The sequence below is a fragment of the Homo sapiens genome, chromosome 7 (assembly GCF_000001405.40).
Source record: "Homo sapiens chromosome 7, GRCh38.p14 Primary Assembly".
Classification (NCBI taxonomy): domain Eukaryota; kingdom Metazoa; phylum Chordata; class Mammalia; order Primates; family Hominidae; genus Homo; species Homo sapiens.
The window spans coordinates 146,892,390-146,912,236 of NC_000007.14; the positions used below are offsets into that span (position 1 = coordinate 146,892,390).

Here is a 19,847-nt window from a genome sequence, read left to right on the forward strand (position 1 = left end):
AGCAGCCACAAAGCCAGCTCAGTTTTAAGAGGCAGAGACAGACTTCTCCTCTCAATGAGAAGAGAGCCATAGAATTTGTAGCCATCTTAATTTATTATGATAATGTTATTTTTATCTCAAGTCAAGAGATAAGAGACAAGGAAGTATAATCGGTTATGGTGACTGCCTATCTAGTCTTCAAATATTTAGCCAACATGCATCAAATTTCTTGCCCTACAGGAAGCCAAGAATTATATCTTAGCTGGGCGTGGTGGCACATGCCTGTAATCCCAGCTACTTGGGAGGCTGATGCATGAGAATCACTTGAACCTGGGAGGCAGAGGTTGCAGTGAACTGAGACTGCACCACTGCACTCCAGTCTGGGTGACAGAGTGAGACACTATCTCAAAGAAAAAAATTATACTATATCAGTTCTTTAATGATTTATTTTTTACATTCAAATGATTCAATGTTACTCAATAAGTGAATGTTTGCAAAATTATTCCAGATAGGTATAAACTTCTGATCGTAATCTTCTTGAGGACTCCAACTTGATATTTAAATCTCTATATGCAGAGACAACTCATGTTTTTGTAAACATATATAAATTCATAGGAAAAGCCATGATAAATAATAGTGACAGTAATTGGTAGGAAAAAATATATATTGTTTGTAAAGATGTTTTATACATATGGACTTTTGTGGTCTGATATGCATACAGTTAACAAATGCATTTATTTTATATCTCTTGCATTGTTATCTATTTCTGTGTCAGAAGAAAGAAGGCATTTTGCCCCTTTTGTTCTTTCTACCTAAAACCAGTATATAATGAGCTATTTCATTTTTTCCTAGTCACGATCAAAGCATAATTTCAGTTTAATTTTGAGTTTTAAATTTTATACCTTTGACAGATTCCTTCTGAAAAGAATTTATCGTGCTGAAGAGAGTTATAAAATGCAGTGATTAAATATATATAGGTAAATAGATATTTTAAGATAAATCTATCATATATCTCTATATAGAGATCATTTATTACATATATACATATATGTATATATACATATGTGTGTGTATGTATATATGTGTGTGTGTATATATATACATACATATATATATATGGAGAGAGAGAGAAATATTTTGTTTTTCCCTCAGGAGGGAAATGCATTTTCTCTCCTGGAGCAGAAGCATGTACAGGTTAAGAAAAAGATATTCTAAGTGGGTAGAATAGATGACTGACTATTCATCTGTTCTAGCTTCCGGTCCTGCAAGAAGTTTGGTGAATGATAGCTGAATATTTGAAGACTGGATAGAAAGCTACCATAATCAGCCATACTGCCTGTCTCTTTAGGATAGTCTTCAAGGAATCCAGCCATTTTTCCTACCCACTGATGTTGCCACCTTCAGCAATTATATGTGTGTCTATGGGTTGAGGAATAATCCACTAAGCGCACATCAGTTAACAAATGGGTGACTTTAGAGGAAGAAGTTTCAATAGAAGAAGTAAGAAGATGTCAAAGATGACATCCTGCCTCTTGTGGAAGATGGGTACAAACCGAGCTATGTAAAAACCTAGGAGAGTAATATTCTGGCTATCCTTTAAGACTATGTTCTTGAAATATTTGTTAATTAGTTATTTAGAGAAGACAGTGGATACTGCCTATAGAAACTGTGAAAGGACCACTGGTTGCTCACTGCAGAGGTGTCGAGCCACCTGTTGTCCTTCACTTATAACACACCTGCCATTTCCTGGCCATTTCCTACCATACACCAAGCAACTTTTGGACAATTTCTTCCAAATACTTATACTGTTTACTGGAAAGGGCGTAAAGGAAACAATATATTCTCTGTCTCCTATGTTTCCAATGACATAGTAATGCCTTAGAAATATTTCAGTGTTTTAGGAAATTGTTTCTTAACCCAGGTTAGTATACAGAATAAGGGCCAAATTCCTTTATATGGGAAACAATACCCTTCGAAATCTGTGGCTTATATTTCCAAATTAATCTTTTGCTCCTCTTCATCTGGCACTCTTTGCTTCAGCATTTTTAAAACTCTGTGTGTTTTTTGTTGTTGTTTTGTTTTTCTTGTTTTTGTTTTGTTTTGGTTTTCTCTTGTTTTAACTAGTTGTTTTCTTATGCTTCAATCTTTTGTACATGAATTCCTAAGCTTGAAATGCTGCTGCCCCTGTGGTTCGCCATGAAAAATAATTCAATTTAAAGTGATAACTTTAAACAATTTCCTTGACCTGTGTATCTCTTTTGTTGGGTGCTTTTGCCTTTTGGTCTGCATTTTTTTATTAACTTGTACATACCTCTGTAAGAACAGATAGTGTAAAATGTTCTTTAATATTTAATTTACTTTTCTAATTCTTTGAAGAAAACTGGTGTTTCATGTAGGTTAACTTTACATTCCCATCAGCTACCATACAATCGATATCCAATAAATATGAATGAACAGTGTTTGCTGATGGCCGACCTTGACTGAAGAATATTTAATAATTGAGTGGTTGAGAATTCTGAAAAACTTTTTGAAAACACTATGGAAATTGTCAGCCTCAATGCTGGCCTTCATAAGCAAGTACTCTTTGCTTAGGTTACTACATTCTCCCAACCATTTGAAACTGCTGTAAGATAATTATTTAGCATTTATATTATGCATGGGATCCCATCTACAGGGACAGTTTTTCCTTCTTGTACTGCAGTATTTCTTATGCTATAATGAAAGAAAAAATTATTCTAAACCTGTACGTTTAGCTTAAGATTAATGTGTCTTTATCTTATCTAGGTGTTTTAATCCCCTTCCAGCCTTCTTTCCCTCCCTTCCTACATCCTTCCCTTCCTTCCTTCCTTTTCCTTCCTTCCTTTTTTCTTTCCTTCCTTATTCTTACTTCCTTCCCCTTCCTTCTTTCCTTCCTTCCTTCCTTCCCTCCCGCCCTCCTTCCTTCCTCCGTCCTTCCCTCCCTCCCTTCCTTTCTCTCTCTTTCTCTCTTTCTTTTTTCCTATTTCCTTGCATTGCAAAGCCTTCCAAATAAAACTAAATTTAATCATGAAATTCACACAGGATATACAGTTACAAATAATGGATTAGGATGTAATTAGCTATATGTGTGTGAGTACAATAAAATCTCATAATCAAATTATGTGTATCTGTAGTTGTAAAAACATAACATTGAAACACCATATAAATTAATTTAGAGCCATTTTTGATATTTTTGTTAGTATGTAATAATTGTTCATATTTATGGGGTACATCTATGGGATATAATCACGTGGAAATACATAAAAGTATTGCTAGCTTACTGATGGCTCTTAGACAATTACATGGCACCATGGACACATAACTTCTCCGAAAAAGGAGTTTCTCTTTTGAAATGTGAGATGCAATGGGAGACCCTCAAATGGTCATATCTCCAAAGTTAACTCATTATGTCATTGTCTCAAAGTACCTGAATAAAGCTATTTTGAGCTTCAGTCCCCGACGGCATAAATTCTCATTTTCACATGAGTGGTTGCAACTATTCATATGTACTAAGATTTACTAAAGTATCTTTCTGTGGAGGATTATTATAAAATATTGCATTTTCTCAACTACTGGCAATCTAAGTACACCATACTTAAGAAGTCAAGTAAGAGTTTTGGATAATCGTTTTCCTTCCTCCAGAAACTTTATTTTTCTTTTAAATTTAAGGTGATTTATTGGGATATACTATTATCTAAAATGTCAAATGCAGACAAATTTAAATCTGAGAAACAAAATAAGCTTCAGAGTGGTGGGATAGGATGCAGAATCACATGAATCCAGAATGATTGATTTAAATACCCAGCATAACCTCATCTTAGTTTTGCTATAAATACAACAATTAAAACAGGCTCATTTATTATCACCCCCAACCCATTCCAAACTTGCATACACCCTTTTAGGCAATGCCTGATTCCTGGTCTTGCAGGAAAGACTTCCTCTTCAACTCTTTTACTTGGGTGATGCCTACTAATCCTTATTATCTCCACTAGGCAGTCTCCCTAATTCCCCAACCACGTGTACATTTTTTTTTCTGTTCCCCGTAGTATCTTGTGAATATCTACCTCTACATTTAACAGTTTGCATTATAATAACTATTTTTTAAATATTTCTCAGTCACTATACTCTGAACTGTTGAGAGCTATACTGTATGTCTTTATAAATAGAATCAATACAATTTTGTTGGCTGATCAACAAACCAGGCAATATCAAATATTATGTTGGTGCAAAAGCAATTGCAAATTTGCCATTATTTTTAATGGCAAAACCCACAATTACTTTTGCACCGACCTAATAGAATAGAAACTAAGCCCAAGCAAAGTACAATAAGAAAATATAAGCTTTTGCTTAAATAATTCTGATAATTAGTTTATTTTCTTCTGTTACAATATAATTTTACTTTAGTAAGTAATTTTACTTTAATAAAATTATAACTAGTAAAATTATAATGTTTAGGCAAATATAAAATATTTTTAATGATGATTTATTTAACTTATTAATTAATGAGGGAAATTTTAAGATAACCAAACTGGGCTAAATTGCAATTAAGGATTTAGATAAAGAGTATTTAATATATAATGTAAGGGCAATATTTTGAAATTTCATACAAAACTGAATGATGTCTGACAGAGAAACCGTATTTCTCTGCATATTGCCCTGGACAGAAATTAGTTTCATATTGAACACAAGTAACCTCATTTTATGAGGGCATCTCTCACTAGACAAAAGTCAAAACGTCACTCTTACTCTCTGCCCCACAGAGGTGTAACATAATCTAGAAATTGGAAAATCAAGCCCATCATTACACTGAGATACTACTCAGTGTCTATTTTACCTGTTTTCAACTTTTACGTAACTTGTCTGACATTTAAGTTGAGGTTCTCGAATTCAAATGCCAACACATATCAGAAGGCAGTTGAAGTGCAACAATAAGGTAGGCCATGTTTGAACTTGGAGGCCAGCATATTCTGGTGCTTTAGGAAAATCCTGATATCAGAATTCTAGTGTAAAGACTTGTGATTTTAAGATTTGGTCAGTAATTTAAAATATTTTAAGACTCTAGGCCAAACAAAGCTCTTTATGGTTCGTGGAGGCCAAAAGCCACCAGCTCGAGACCTACGTTGTAGAATCCAACAGGCAATCCAGCTTCCCTACAGAAACTGGATTTTATACACTGATTTCTTGCTCAGTACGCAGATTTTTTTTTTTTCTTGGCCTTTAGGAAACACTTCTGCTGTGGAAACCTTTTGAGAGCTAAACTTTTCCCTTACAAATTTGTCTCTGCCCTTTCTTAGTACACATCAGTGATGATATTTTTCTCTAGAGCAGTATCTTAAAAAGTCAATAGCCTACCACCCACTCTGCAGAATCAATTGACCATAGTTAAATTTTTAAGTTAGCCTCATTTTTTCAAGACTATCAGAGATATATTTGTCTAAGTTTAATGTGTTTTTTTAAAAATAATTTTGTGTTTCCTTAGGAATTAGATAAGAAAAATTGTTGGAGCATGCCTCATTTATCCCCCTAGAATTTTAATTAAGGAATGTTTATATATATTTTTAATATCTAAAAACAATTCAGTGAATGCCGTTTACAAATGGTTTGTGATATATACATTTCACTAGCATTCCAGAAATGTGTTAAAGCTTCTCTTAATGATTCCTAAAATAATCATAGAATAATATACATGGACATCATAGTATATTATTTTGATCTTTTGAAAAGATAATGGAAAAATTGATATGCAAAGTTAACTACAAACAGTATATAACTTATTGTCAATTCTGCAATTATCTTCTGGATTTTAATATATAAATACACAATAATTTCTGAAGTTTTAGAAATTTACAAATTAAAAAATAGAGATCACCTGCTGTGACAGAATTGGCCAGGAAGGTAAAATTTTAAAAATAGTTTTATTGTTTTCAATTGGTTTCTTAGTGAGCACAAAAATATGGAGCAAAGACATCACTCAGGAAGGATCTAAGCTATATATGTATTGATTAGGATTCTCAAAATACAGAATTTTCTGAACATTTGCTTTCCCTAGTTAAATGAGAGTTTCAACCACTTTATTTTAAATTAGTTGTGCAACTGGTATTTAAAAAAACAATAATAATAATAAAAAAAAAAACTCTTCTTACTGCCTAAGGAAATGGCATCTATTGTGTGTGTGTGTGTATGAATAATCTAATTGAGTGTATAAACTACCACATTATAACCGCAAGCTGTATTGAAAAATAAATATCAGCTATAAGACTATGTTAACTTTTGTCTTTGTGGTACCTAATCTCCAAAGATGGCCTCAGTGACAGAGTCCTCACAGTCTTCATGTTTTTGTGTGGTTTCTTCCGATACTCAATTTGTGACTTGTTTAACCGATTGAGTACATGCAATGAAAAAAAAGACACTTTGACTCTTGCAGGTGTAGACCTTAAAAGGGGCCAGCCCTCTCTACTTTTTAACATAATGTCTGATCTGCCACTTTTTTTCTCATTAAAAAAAAAATTGCTATCTCTACCTTCTTCCTCCCATTGCAAACGCCACTGAAAGTGATTTTTGTCAAATTTACCTGTCATCTCCTTGTTTTAAATTCAATGAAACCATTTAAGTGCATAAATTATTCAACCTTTGTGTGGCACTGGAAACTTTCTTTTATTCCCAGTTTCTTAAAATAGCCTCTTTAGTTTCTTCCAGTTTTTGTCTTTGTCCAGTTGTTCTCACCCTGTTTGTGGATTACCCTCTTCCAGAGAATGTTGGTATTCTCATAGATCCACTATCTGCTTTCTCTTCTTATTCCACACATTCTCAAGTAATTTTATCTAGGCCCATGGCTTTAATCTCATGTTGCTGACTTCCCAAATTCCATCTCCATTACAATCCCATTTGCTTAGTTCCAGAATTTCTTACCCAGTTGCCAACAAGACAAGTTTATTGGACTTTTCTTCGGGGTCCTGAAACCAGCATACTCAAATCGCATTCATTCCTGTCCTCAGCACATTCCAGGTGAGAGCCCCGAAACCTCTTCTTATTCTAGAAATAGAACATCTAGTTGAATAAGCCAGAAGCCAAGATTCATTCCTGGCTCTTCTCTCTTTCACTTTCCCTGCATGCATTGAACCTGTATTTTGTGCCCTTTGTTTTAAATTTCACTTTAACAATTCAGTTTATTTCTACCTAACAACTTGTAATAAAACAGGTTGGTGTCATGGCAGAGAATGCAGAATAGTCAGTAGTTGAGTTCTGCTCAAACCAATTCCAGATAGATAGGCTCACGGAAGAAGAACCAGGAAATCCAAGGGATAGGACAGGTCCTCAAATTTTTCTCTGCCTCAGAATTGTCTCAGTAATATGCATTCACCAACATCTGGAGGACCCAAAGTTAGCTAAGGAGCAGATAATCTCAAGGAATCTTTGTCAGAACCATCCTCCAAAACAAGTGCTTAGCAAACTGCTCTATGTGACAGTGCATTATGATAAGAGCAAGTGGCCCTGTTTATGGGAGCTTTTGGATATTAACCAGTATCTCATCCCTTAAAGATAGATGTCCCTATAAGTGATTGTTGAAGGTGGAAAGTTAGAAGTAAGCAATAGTTTGAGACTATTTTAAGTTTACCCTCAACGAGCTGGAAATCAGTTATATTTTATTTGGTATTTACTCATTTTTCACCATTATGTAATTCAAGCTATAATTTCAGTACTACTTGTTGTTAACTACTTGCTATAGACAAGTAGATAAGTAAAGGCCTAAACAGTATCTCAAAACTAAAAGAGGAGATTTCCTAAGTATACTGTCAGGAGCTTCCTGGCCATCGGGATATTTTTTAGTGTTGTCCTGTAGCATAGTCAATCACCAAATTCTGTCAGTTCTGTCATCACAACATCTCTAGAGTAAATGTAATACATTATTCATTTTTCTGTTTTAGTTTAAGCCTTATTACGATCCAACTCAAATTACTCGAATAATTTTCTAAATAGCCTTCCTGCTTCTAGTCCTGACCATCTGCAAGTCAATTCATTTGAAAGTTTTTCAAGAGGGAAAGCAGTTTACTTAACCATGTCTCCACTCCACAGCTTCACCCCATCCCCAACTGTTCTAAACCTTGCTCTGCTCTCTAAGATAAAATCTAAATGTATTTGAATGGCTGATAGGGCCTTATCCAGTCAAGCCCTGGCCTATCTTGCTAGTCCCATCTCCTGCCACTATTTCTATTCCCACTTCATCATCCACTCCTCTCCCACTCCCAGTCCCATACCTCCTGATTCATTCTGCTTAATTCCTGTGTTTCTCCCCAGACTCCAATGAGGCAGTACCTCTGTCAGCTTTCTCTGAACCTCATTAGGAGTCTACAGAGTTACCTATTCATATTGCTATCCGAGCGCAGAATACTTACTGAATTTCATTACACTCCTATGCTCACTTGGCTCTCTCTTCTACCTGCACCGAGTCTCTTGGGAATCCAGACCATCTTATTCATTCACTGCTTAGCATAATTCCTGTCCCTAGTGGACACGTAATAAATATCAGTTAAATATTCAATGAACAAATGAATCCTCTGTCCTCATAATATACTGCTTTATTTTATATTCTAAGACTATGCTTCAGAAAATATAGAAATCAACAATGCTATTCTGATTAAAGTAGTAATAATAATAATAATAATAATAATAATGTTTCTTTATCTCTGGACCTAAGATGTCAACACAGGTAAAACAAAAGCTATTTTTTAAGATATTAAACTTAGGCTAAAAAACAGAAAAATCCACTTAATGCAAACAGCAGCTACTTATCAAAATATAAATAAAGGAATATTATGGAGAAAATAATTCTCTAGTGTGCTTAATTCACCCGAGCCTCAACAGTTTCTGCTGAGTAAAAGCTATAATGCCCAATGAAGTTTTACATTTCCATAGAAAACAAAAATTATTTCCAGATGTTTGCTAAGAATAAAATATCTGTATGTATGCATAATTGGTATCAAAAAGCTAGCAAAAGCAATTAAAATAGCTTTCTGTATAATTTCTCAGATATTATGAATACATGGATGAATACACAGGGAAAGAATTAAAGAGCATTACACTTTGTCAATGTTCTAAATAATGGAACATGCAATATATGTCCTAGAAAATGGAATTTGACTTAAACGGCAAAATAAAAGCCAAAGAGGATGAAATAAACAGAATCACTTTCTAAAATTTCATCTCTGTTCTAGATTCCTTATGGAATTTGCAGTAGGAAAAACTTAAATATGCAATGAGTATATTAAAATCCAAAGGAAATATCAGTACTTACTTGGATTGGATATCAAAAACTAAAAGACAAAGTCAGTTGTATTAGATGGCTGGGGAAATATCAGGACTCTGAAAAAAATTATTTTTGCTAACAATTGTATTGTTTATTCTTCTACTTTTACTAATGTGAACTTTGAAGGAGTATATTTGTTGCTCTTTGAGCCCTTTACAGTTTTTCTTGCATATATGCTCCTTTTTTTTTTTTTTTTTTTTTTTGAGACGGTCTCTGGCTCTGTCACCCAGGCTGGAGTGCAGTGGTGCGATCTCGGCTCACTGCAAGCTCCGCCTCCCGGGTTCACGCCATTCTCCTGCCTCAGCCTCCCGCATAGTTGGGACTACAGGCGCCTGCCACCTCGCCCGGCTAATTTTTCTTTTTTTTTGTATTTGTAGTGGAGACGGGGTTTCACCGTGTTAGCCAGGATGGTGTCGATCTCCTAAACTCGTGATCCACCCGTCTCGGCCTCCCAAAGTGCTGGGATTACAGGCGTGAGCCACCGTGCTCAGCCATATGCTCCATTTTTTACTTTATCTTCCTCAGGAGCAGTGGCTGGCAGTGAGTGTAGGGGAGATTGTGGCTTTCATCATATGCTCTCCTGAACTACTCATAATTTCTCACTTTTAATCCCTCTTCTGAATCTAAAGAATGCAGTGCTTTTGAAATATACTTTGTTTCTTCATCCATATTTCAAAGAAGCTATATTACAGTAACGTACATTTCTTCTAGTACTTAAATAACTGGAACTTATATGACACTTGGGACAAAACTGGTTCATACTGAATTTTGCTATAATAAGAAAAGAGTTATGGCAAGTTTCCACCACATTGTAATCTTATATGTAGAAACTGTATAAAGGGTATGCAAAAACAGTATGCAGATGAAAATTTTCACAATTCATATGCAGGACAACCACCTGTGGCTTTCATCACTTTCTCTTCATTTAAGCTAACTTCCCTTGCAAACTTCCATTTCCACTAATGCCAGAGACAGTTTAAACGAGCCAGTGAACGTTAACCTAGTCTCTTCTGGTTAACTGGAGCCCTTTCTTGTAAATGTTCCGTCTCATGAGCTGCTCCTCACTTTCTTATCCCCACCAATAAAGTAGCTGAGAGCATGTGGCTGCCATTGCAGCCTCAGGGCAGTGAGGATGAAATCTCTGTTTCCCGAGATGGGCCCTCGATGACATGGTTTTTCCGACGTGTGGTAAGGTCATGAAACACATGCCCAGCAAATCACATGATGTCATTGTCTCCTCTCTAACCACACTGACTCAGTGACTGGTCAGAACTACTCGAGTAGAGCATGCAGACTGCCTCTGGACTACCAGCTGATTTTACTGGTCCTCAAATGACATATCTACCGATATTGGGAGCAAGAGTTGGAACACATTTTTATCAACTTCACGTTGGGGCAACATTCAAGACTGTGATCTATGGGCTTGTACCATTAAACAGGGTATTGTTCAGTTCAGGTAATGCCAGACTCACTTCTGTGGATTACACACTGGCCATGCACAGTGCGATCAAATATCGGACCTTGAGGGGTTGGATAAAATCCTGTTTTGTCACCAGAGATAGCTTGAGAATCATTTTCTTATGAGATATACCCATTTTCACAGCTGTAAACACCATTACTATGCTGAAAACTCTCTAATTTATAACTCTACCCCAGATCTGTCTTCTGAGCTCCCAACTCAGCAAATTGCATACTCAATAATTTCATTTGCATGTAATAAGCTCCCCAAACTTAATATGTTAAAAACCAAATTTCTGACCCCCACTCCAACAAAATAAAACAAAATGAAACTAAAACCTGATCCTTCTCAGTCTTTCCATCTTAGAAATGACAACTTTGTTCTTTTATTCATACAAAATTAGTGAATTCATCAAGAAGATTTTTATCTTTTATTACCACCCTGGTCCAGATCTGACCTCTCTCTATCCTCCTGTTGCAATCTCCTTTAGAACCTTAGGCAAAGGAATCAGCGGATCTCACAGACCTAGAGAGGAGAAAGGTGGTCACCAGAGGCCTGCAGAGAGAGAGGAAAGGATGGGCAAAGAGAAGATATTAATCAAAGGTTACAAAGATTCAGCTAGACTGGGGGAATAGGTTTGGCTGATCTCTTGCCCCGCATAGTGACTGCCATTAGTAATAATGTATATCTCCAAATTGTTAAAAGAATAGATTGTTAACATTTTCACCCCATTAAAAAAGATAAATTGGTGAGGTCATAGAATATGTTAATTTGAGTTTTTCTCTACTATATATGTAAATCAAAACATCACATTGTACACCGTAAATATACATAATTATTATATGTCAATTTAAAATAAAGTTAAATTTCTTTTAAAAGTATAAATTAGATAACGTTAATTCAACACTCACAACCCTTCATTGCTTTCCATGTTACTTATTAAATAGCTCAGGTTCTCAAAATAGCCCACAATATCTTAATGATTTCACCAATAAGCAAGCTTTTCAGCCACCCTGCCTCTAACTTACTCGTCTCCATTCACACTGGCCTCCTGGTTGTTACTCTAGCATAGCAAGCACACCTCTGCTCAGGAACCTTATATTTGCTGTTGCTTCTCCTTGGACCTCTATACACGTCACCTTTTCAGATAGAACATCCCTGAAGACCCTCTATAGAATTGTGGCCCCATACCTGTACTCGGTCCCTGTAATCTCGCCACGAAATGTGGCAGGTTTACATAATACTGTACCCTTAGTGTCTAGAACAATGTCAGGTATTTATTGAGAAGACATTCAAACTTTGTTGAATGAGAGAATTCATCTTTGTTTGTTTGTTTGTTTGAGACAGAGTCTTGCTCTGTCACCCAGGCTGGAGCACAGTGGCGCGATCTCGGCTCACTGCAAGCTGCGCCTCCCAGGTTCACGCCATTCTCCTGCCTCAGCCTCCTGAGTAGCTGGGACTACAGGCACCCGCCACCACGCCTGGCTAATTTTTTGTATTTTTAGTAGAGACGGGGTTTCACTGTATTAGCCAGGATGGTCTCGATCTCCTGACCTCGTGATCCGCCCACCTCGGCCTCCCAAAGTGCTGGGATTACAGGCGTGAGCCACCGCGTCCGGCCGAGAATTCATCTTTTGAGCATGGGGCTCAGCTCTTGTCACTGACTGTGAATCGTATTGTGCTGCTCACAAAGTTCAATGGTTTTCTTAATGTGGAATAATTTTATGTATGAGCAGATAGAAGGGAACCAAGAGTAACATCTCAAGCTCACCTACCTTGAAAAGTCCCTTTGTCCTTACACCTTACCACCGCATACTGGATGTGGCAATGAAGTAGAACACCAGCCTAGTGTTCCTCAACCTCAGCACTATGACATTTGGGGACAGATAATTCCGTGTAGTGGGAGATTGTCCTCTGCATTGTTGCTTAGCCGAATCCTTCCCATAGGCCTAACAGGTGCCAGATACTAGTAACAATGCCTACCTCCGCCCCTACTCACGTTGTGACAATCAAAAATGTCTCCTGAACTTATCAAAAGTTCCCTGGAGTCGGGAGGGGGAAATTGCCTCTGGCCTAGAAGATCTTGGATGCCTCCTTAGCCTTTGAGGGATGTGAGGATTTCATCAGGAGTTTTATAATTTGGCCTTCACCTACCACACCTTTCTGCCTGAGACTCAGAGAACTGGGAATCTGTCCTCTTAGGGGCTCCGGTTTTATCCACATTCTCATCACCTCACCTTTAATTTCCTTGATACAGAATTCTTTCTACATTCTCTTCCTATTTGGAAGGACTTCCCCTTTCATCCTCTTACGAGTTGGTTCCAGCAGAAGTTTGGAGTAAAATTCTTTGATCAGAGTTGCCTGAGTCTGGCTCTTGATTTATAAAGAAAGTGTATAGAATTTAGAAAATATTTTGATCTTCCACAGAGACTAGCTTTCCCCAAGTCTTTTTCATTCAGAGACTCAAAGAAGTCTAATGTGACAGTCAAACAACTTTTCTTTGTAGCTGTCATTTGCCCTCCTTCTAAAGCATGGGACCTCAGTGGGCAATGAGTGATAAGCCAGTGGGTGTTACTGTATTAGCAGAATGAAACCTATAACAATTTTTAACTTAATACAATAAAATTTGGTTTACGAAGGAGGAGCCAAGATGGCCGAATAGGAACAGCTCCGGGTCTACAGCTCCCAGCGTGAGCGATGCAGAAGATGGGTGATTTCTGGAAATCATCTGAGGTACCGGGTTCATCTCACTAGGGAGTGCCAGACAGTGGGCGCAGGCCAGTGGGTGCACGCACCACACCGTGCGCGAGCCGAAGCAGGGCGAGGCATTGCCTCACCTGGGAAGCGCAAGGGGTCAGGGAGTTCCCTTTCCGAGTCAAAGAAAGGGGTGACGGACGCACCTGGAAAATCGGGTCACTCCCACCCGAATATTGAGCTTTCAGACCGGCTTAAAAAACGGCGCACCACGGGACTATATCCCACACCTGGCTCGGAGGGTCCTACGCCCACGGAGTCTCGCTGATTGCTAGCACAGCAGTCTGAGATCAAACTGCAAGGCGGCAGCGAGGCTGGGGGAGGGGCGCCCGCCATTGCCCAGGCTTGCTTAGGTAAACAAAGCAGCCAGGAAGCTGGAACTGGGTGGAGCCCACCACAGCTCAAGGAGGCCTGGCTGCCTCTGTAGGCTCCACCTCTGGGGGCAGGGCACAGACAAACAAAAAGACAGCAGTAACCTCTGCAGACTTAAATGTCCCTGTCTGACAGCTTTGAAGAGAGCAGTGGTTCTCCCAGCACGCAGCTGGAGATCTGAAAACGGGCAGACTGCCTCCTCAAGTGGGTCCCTGACCCCTGACCCCCGAGCAGCCTAACTGGGAGGCACCCCCCAGCAGGGGCACACTGACACCTCACACAGCAGGGTATTCCAACAGACCTGCAGCTGAGGGTCCTGTCTGTTAGAAGGAAAACTAACAAATAGAAAGGACATCCACACCGAAAACCCATCTGTACATCACCATCATCAAAGACCAAAAGTAGATAAAACCACAAAGATGGGGAGAAAACAGAACAGAAAAACTGGAAACTCTAAAACGCAGAACACCTCTCCTCCTCCAAAGGAACGCAGCTCCTCACCAGCAACGGAACAAAGCTGGATGGAGAATGACTTTGACGAGCTGAGAGAAGAAGGCTTCAGACGATCAAATTACTCTGAGCTACGGGAGGACATTCAAACCAAAGGCAAAGAAGTTGAAAACTTTGAAAAAAATTTAGAAGAATGTATAACTAGAATAACCAATACAGAGAAGTGCTTAAAGGAGCTGATGGAGCTGAAAACCAAGGCTCGAGAACTACGTGAAGAATGCAGAAGCCTCAGGAGCCGATGCGATCAACCGGAAGAAAGGGTATCAGCGATGGAAGATGAAATGAATGAAATGAAGCGAGAAGGGAAGTTTAGAGAAAAAAGAATAAAAAGAAATGAGCAAAGCCTCCAAGAAATATGGGACTGTGAAAAGACCAAATCTACGTCTGATTGGTGTACCTGAAAATGATGTGGAGAATGGAACCAAGTTGGAAAACACTCTGCAGGATATTATCCAGGAGAACTTCCCCAATCTAGCAAGGCAGGCCAACGTTCAGATTCAGGAAATACAGAGAACGCCACAAAGATACTCCTCGAGAAGAGCAACTCCAAGACACATAATTGTCAGATTCACCGAAGTTGAAATGAAGGAAAAAATGTTAAGGGCAGCCAGAGAGAAAGGTCAGGTTACCCTCAAAGGGAAGCCCATCAGACTAACAGCGGATCTCTCGGCAGAAACCCTACAAGCCAGAAGAGAGTGGGGGCCAATATTCAACATTCTTAAAGAAAAGAATTTTCAACCCAGAATTTCATATCCAGCCAAACTAAGCTTCATAAGTGAAGGAGAAATAAAATACTTTACAGACAAGCAAATGCTGAGAGATTTTGTCACCACCAAGCCTGCCCTAAAAGAGCTCCTGAAGGAAGCGCTAAACATGGAAAGGAACAACCGGTACCAGCTGCTGCAAAATCATGCCAAAATGTAAAGACCATCGAGACTAGGAAGAAACTGCATCAACTAATGAGCAAAATCACCAGCTAACATCATAATGACAGGATCAAATTCACACATAACAATATTAACTTTAAATGTAAATGGACTAAATGCTCTAATTAAAAGACACAGACTGGCAAGTTGGATAAAGAGTCAAGACCCATCAGTGTGCTGTCTTCAGGAAACCCATCTCACATGCAGAGACACACATAGGCTCAAAATAAAAGGATGGAGGAAGATCTACCAAGCAAATAGAAAACTAAAAAAGGCAGGGGTTGCAATCCTAGTCTCTGATAAAACAGACTTTAAACCAACAAAGATCAAAAGAGACAAAGAAGGCCATTACATAATGGTAAAGGGATTAATTCAACAAGAAGAGCTAACTATCCTAAATATATATGCACCCAATACAGGAGCACCCAGATTCATAAAGCAAGTCCTGAGTGACCTACAAAGAGACTTAGACTCCCAAACATTAATAATGGGAGACTTTAACACCGCACTGTCAACATTAGACAGATCAACGAGACAGAAAGTCAACAAGGATACCCAGGAATTGAACTCAGCTCTGCACCAAGCGGACCTAATAGACATCTACAGAACTCTCCACCCCAAATCAACAGAATATACATTCTTTTCAGCACCACACCACACCTATTCCAAAATTGACCACATACTTGGAAGTAAAGCTCTCCTCAGCAAATGTAAAAGAACAGAAATTATAACAAACTATCTCTCAGACCACAGTGCAATCAAACTAGAACTCAGGATTAAGAATCTCACTCAAAACCACTCAACTACATGGAAACTGAACAACCTGCTCCTGAATGACTACTGGGTACATAACGAAATGAAGGCAGAAATAAAGATGTTCTTTGAAACCAATGAGAACAAAGACACAACATACCAGAATCTCTGGGACGCATTCAAAGCAGTGTGTAGAGGGAAATTTATAGCACTAAATGCCCACAAGAGAAAGCAGGAAAGATCCAAAATTGACACCCTAACATCACAGTTAAAAGAACTAGAAAAGCAAGAGCAAACACATTCAAAAGCTAGCAGAAGGCAAGAAATAACTAAAATCAGAGCAGAACTGAAGGAAATAGAGACACAAAAAACCCTTCAAAAAAATCAATGAATCCAGGAACTGGTTTTTTGAAAGGATCAACAAAATTGATAGACCACTAGCAAGACTAATAAAGAAAAAAAGAGAGAAGAATCAAATAGACACAATAAAAAATGATAAAGGGGATATCACCACTGATCCCACAGAAATACAAACTACCATCAGAGAATACTACAAACACCTCTACGCAAATAAACTAGAAAATCTAGAAGAAATGGACACATTCCTCGACACATACACTCTCCCAAGACTAAACCAGGAAGAAGTTGAATCTCTGAATAGATCAATAACAGGAGCTGAAATTGTGGCAATAATCAATAGTTTACCAACCAAAAAGAGTCTAGGACCAGATGGATTCACAGCCGAATTCTACCAGAGGTACAAGGAGGAACTGGTACCATTCCTTCTGAAACTATTCCAATCAATAGAAAAAGAGGGAATCCTCCCTAACTCATTTTATGAGGCCAGCATCATTCTGATACCAAAGCCGGGCAGAGACACAACCAAAAAACAGAATTTTAGACCAATATCCTTGATGAACATTGATGCAAAAATCCTCAATAAAATACTGGCAAAACGAATCCAGCAGCACATCAAAAAGCTTATCCACCATGATCAAGTGGGCTTCATCCCTGGGATGCAAGGCTGGTTCAATATATGCAAATCAATAAATGTAATCCAGCATATAAACAGAGCCAAAGACAAAAACCACATGATTATCTCAATAGATGCAGAAAAAGCCTTTGACAAAATTCAACAACCCTTCATGCTAAAAACTCTCAATAAATTAGGTATTGATGGGACGTATTTCAAAATAATAAGAGCTATCTATGACAAACCCACAGCCAATATCATACTGAATGGGCAAAAACTGGAAGCATTCCCTTTGAAAACTGGCACAAGACAGGGATGCCCTCTCTCACCGCTCCTATTCAACATAGTGTTGGAAGTTCTGGCCAGGGCAATCAGGCAGGAGAAGGAAATAAAGGGTATTCAATTAGGAAAAGAGGAAGTCAAATTGTCCCTGTTTGCAGACGACATGATTGTTTATCTAGAAAACCCCATCGTCTCAGCCCAAAATCTCCTTAAGCTGATAAGCAACTTCAGCAAAGTCTCAGGATACAAAATCAATGTACAAAAATCACAAGCATTCTTATACACCAACAACAGACAAACAGAGAGCCAAATCATGAGTGAACTCCCATTCACAATTGCTTCAAAGAGAATAAAATACCTAGGAATCCAACTCACAAGGGATGTGAAGGACCTCTTCAAGGAGAACTACAAACCACTGCTCAAGGAAATAAAAGAGGATACAAAGAAATGGAAGAACATTCCATGCTCATGGGTAGGAAGAATCAATATCATGAAAATGGCCATACTGCCCAAGGTAATTTACAGATTCAATGCCATCCCCATCAAGCTACCAATGACTTTCTTCACAGAATTGGAAAAAGCTACTTTAAAGTTCATATGGTACCAAAAAAGAGCCCGCATCGCCAAGTCAATCCTAAGCCAAAAGAACAAAGCTGGAGGCATCACACTACCTGACTTCAAAGTATACTACAAGGCTACAGTAACCAAAACAGCATGGTACTGGTACCAAAACAGAGATATAGATCAATGGAACAGAACAGAGCCCTCAGAAATAACGCCACATACCTACAACTATCTGATCTTTGACAAACCTGAGAAAAACAAGCATTGGGGAAAGGATTCCCTATTTAATAAATGGTGCTGGGAAAACTGGCTAGCCATATGTAGAAAGCTGAAACTGGATCCCTTCCTTACACCTTATACAAAAATCAATTCAAGATGGATCAAAGATTTAAACGTTAGACCTAAAACCATAAAAACCCTAGAAGAAAACCTAGGCATTACCATTCAGGACATAGGCATGGGCAAGGACTTCATGTCTAAAACACCAAAAGCAATGGCAACAAAAGCCAAAATTGACAAATGGGATCTAATTAAACTAAAGAGCTTCTGCACAGCAAAAGAAACTACCATCAGAGTGAACAGGCAACCTACAAAATGGGAGAAAATTTTCGCAACCTACTCATCTGACAAAGAGCTAATATCCAGAATCTGCAATGAACTCAAACAAATTTACAAGAAAAAAACAAACAACCCCATCAAAAAGTGGGCGAAGGACATGAACAGACACTTCTCAAGAGAAGACATTTATGCAGCCAAAAAACACATGAAAAAATGCTCATCATCACTGGCCATCAGAGAAATGCAAATCAAAACCACTATGAGATATCATCTCACACCAGTTAGAATGGCAATCATTAAAAAGTCAGGATACAACAGGTGCTGGACATGATGTGGAGAAATAGGAACACTTTTACACTGTTGGTGGGACTGTAAACTAGTTCAACCCTTGTGGAAGTCAGTGTGGTGATTCCTCAGGGATCTAGAACTAGAAATACCATTTGACCCAGCCATCCTATTACTGGGTATATACCCAAAGGACTATAAATCATGCTGCTATAAAGACACATGCACACGTATGTTTATCGCGGCATTATTCACAACAGCAAAGACTTGGAACCAACCCAAATGTCCAACAATGATAGACTGGATTAAGAAAATGTGGCACATATACACCATGGAATACTATGCAGCCATAAAAGTTGATGAGTTCATATCCTTTGTAGGGACATGGATGAAATTGGAAATCATCATTCTCAGTAAACTATTGCAAGAACAAAAAACCAAACACCGTATATTCTCACTCATAGGTGGGAATTGAACAATGAGATCACATGGACACATGAAGGGGAGTACCACACTCTGGGGACTGTGGTGGGGTGGGGGGAGGGGGGAGGGATAGCATTTGGAGGTATACCTAAGGCTAGATGACAAGTTAGTGGGTGCAGCGCACCAGCATGGCACATGTATACATATGTAACTAACCTGCACAATGTGCACATGTACCCTAAAACTTAAAGTATAATAATAAAAAAAATAAATAATAAAATTTGGTTTACAATCTTCAAGAACATTATAACCATTATATATAATACATGGTAATTTTCAAGTATCTCAAACACACATAGAATTTCATAGAGAGGTATAAATATTTATGCCAAAACACATGGTATAATGATTTCTTTCCTTTGATTAAGAGGCATTTTTATAGTGATCATTATTAAATGAAATAAATATTTGCATGTGGTACAGTATACAATCCTTTCATTACGAAATGTTATTTTAAAAGTATGTATTGGGTCCTGAATCACGATGTTTTAAAATGTTTGATTTTAATGAGTCATTGAATATGTATTAGCTTTTATGAGATGCACATATTTGGAATATGGCTGTATTCGTCAGCATAAGGATGATTTAAATTTTCTTAAAATAGACTATTAGGATGCAGATGTTCTT

The 19,847-nt window shown here is 38.0% G+C and overlaps 1 protein-coding gene across 2 annotated transcripts in view, besides 1 other annotated feature; it reads left to right on the forward strand.

Annotated features, from left to right (window-relative positions):
* CNTNAP2 (contactin associated protein 2) overlaps window positions 1–19,847 on the forward strand; it is a 2,304,198-nt gene that overhangs the window by 775,589 nt on the left and 1,508,762 nt on the right. The window lies entirely within an intron of this gene.
* Window positions 13,055–13,671: an enhancer, noted in NCBI's record as "OCT4-NANOG-H3K27ac-H3K4me1 hESC enhancer chr7:146602536-146603152 (GRCh37/hg19 assembly coordinates)". NCBI's record gives its function as "activates a minimal SCP1, AML or CMV promoter by ChIP-STARR-seq in primed H9 embryonic stem cells {active_cell/tissue: H9 hESC(primed)}" and the evidence as "EXISTENCE:reporter gene assay evidence [ECO:0000049][PMID:30033119]".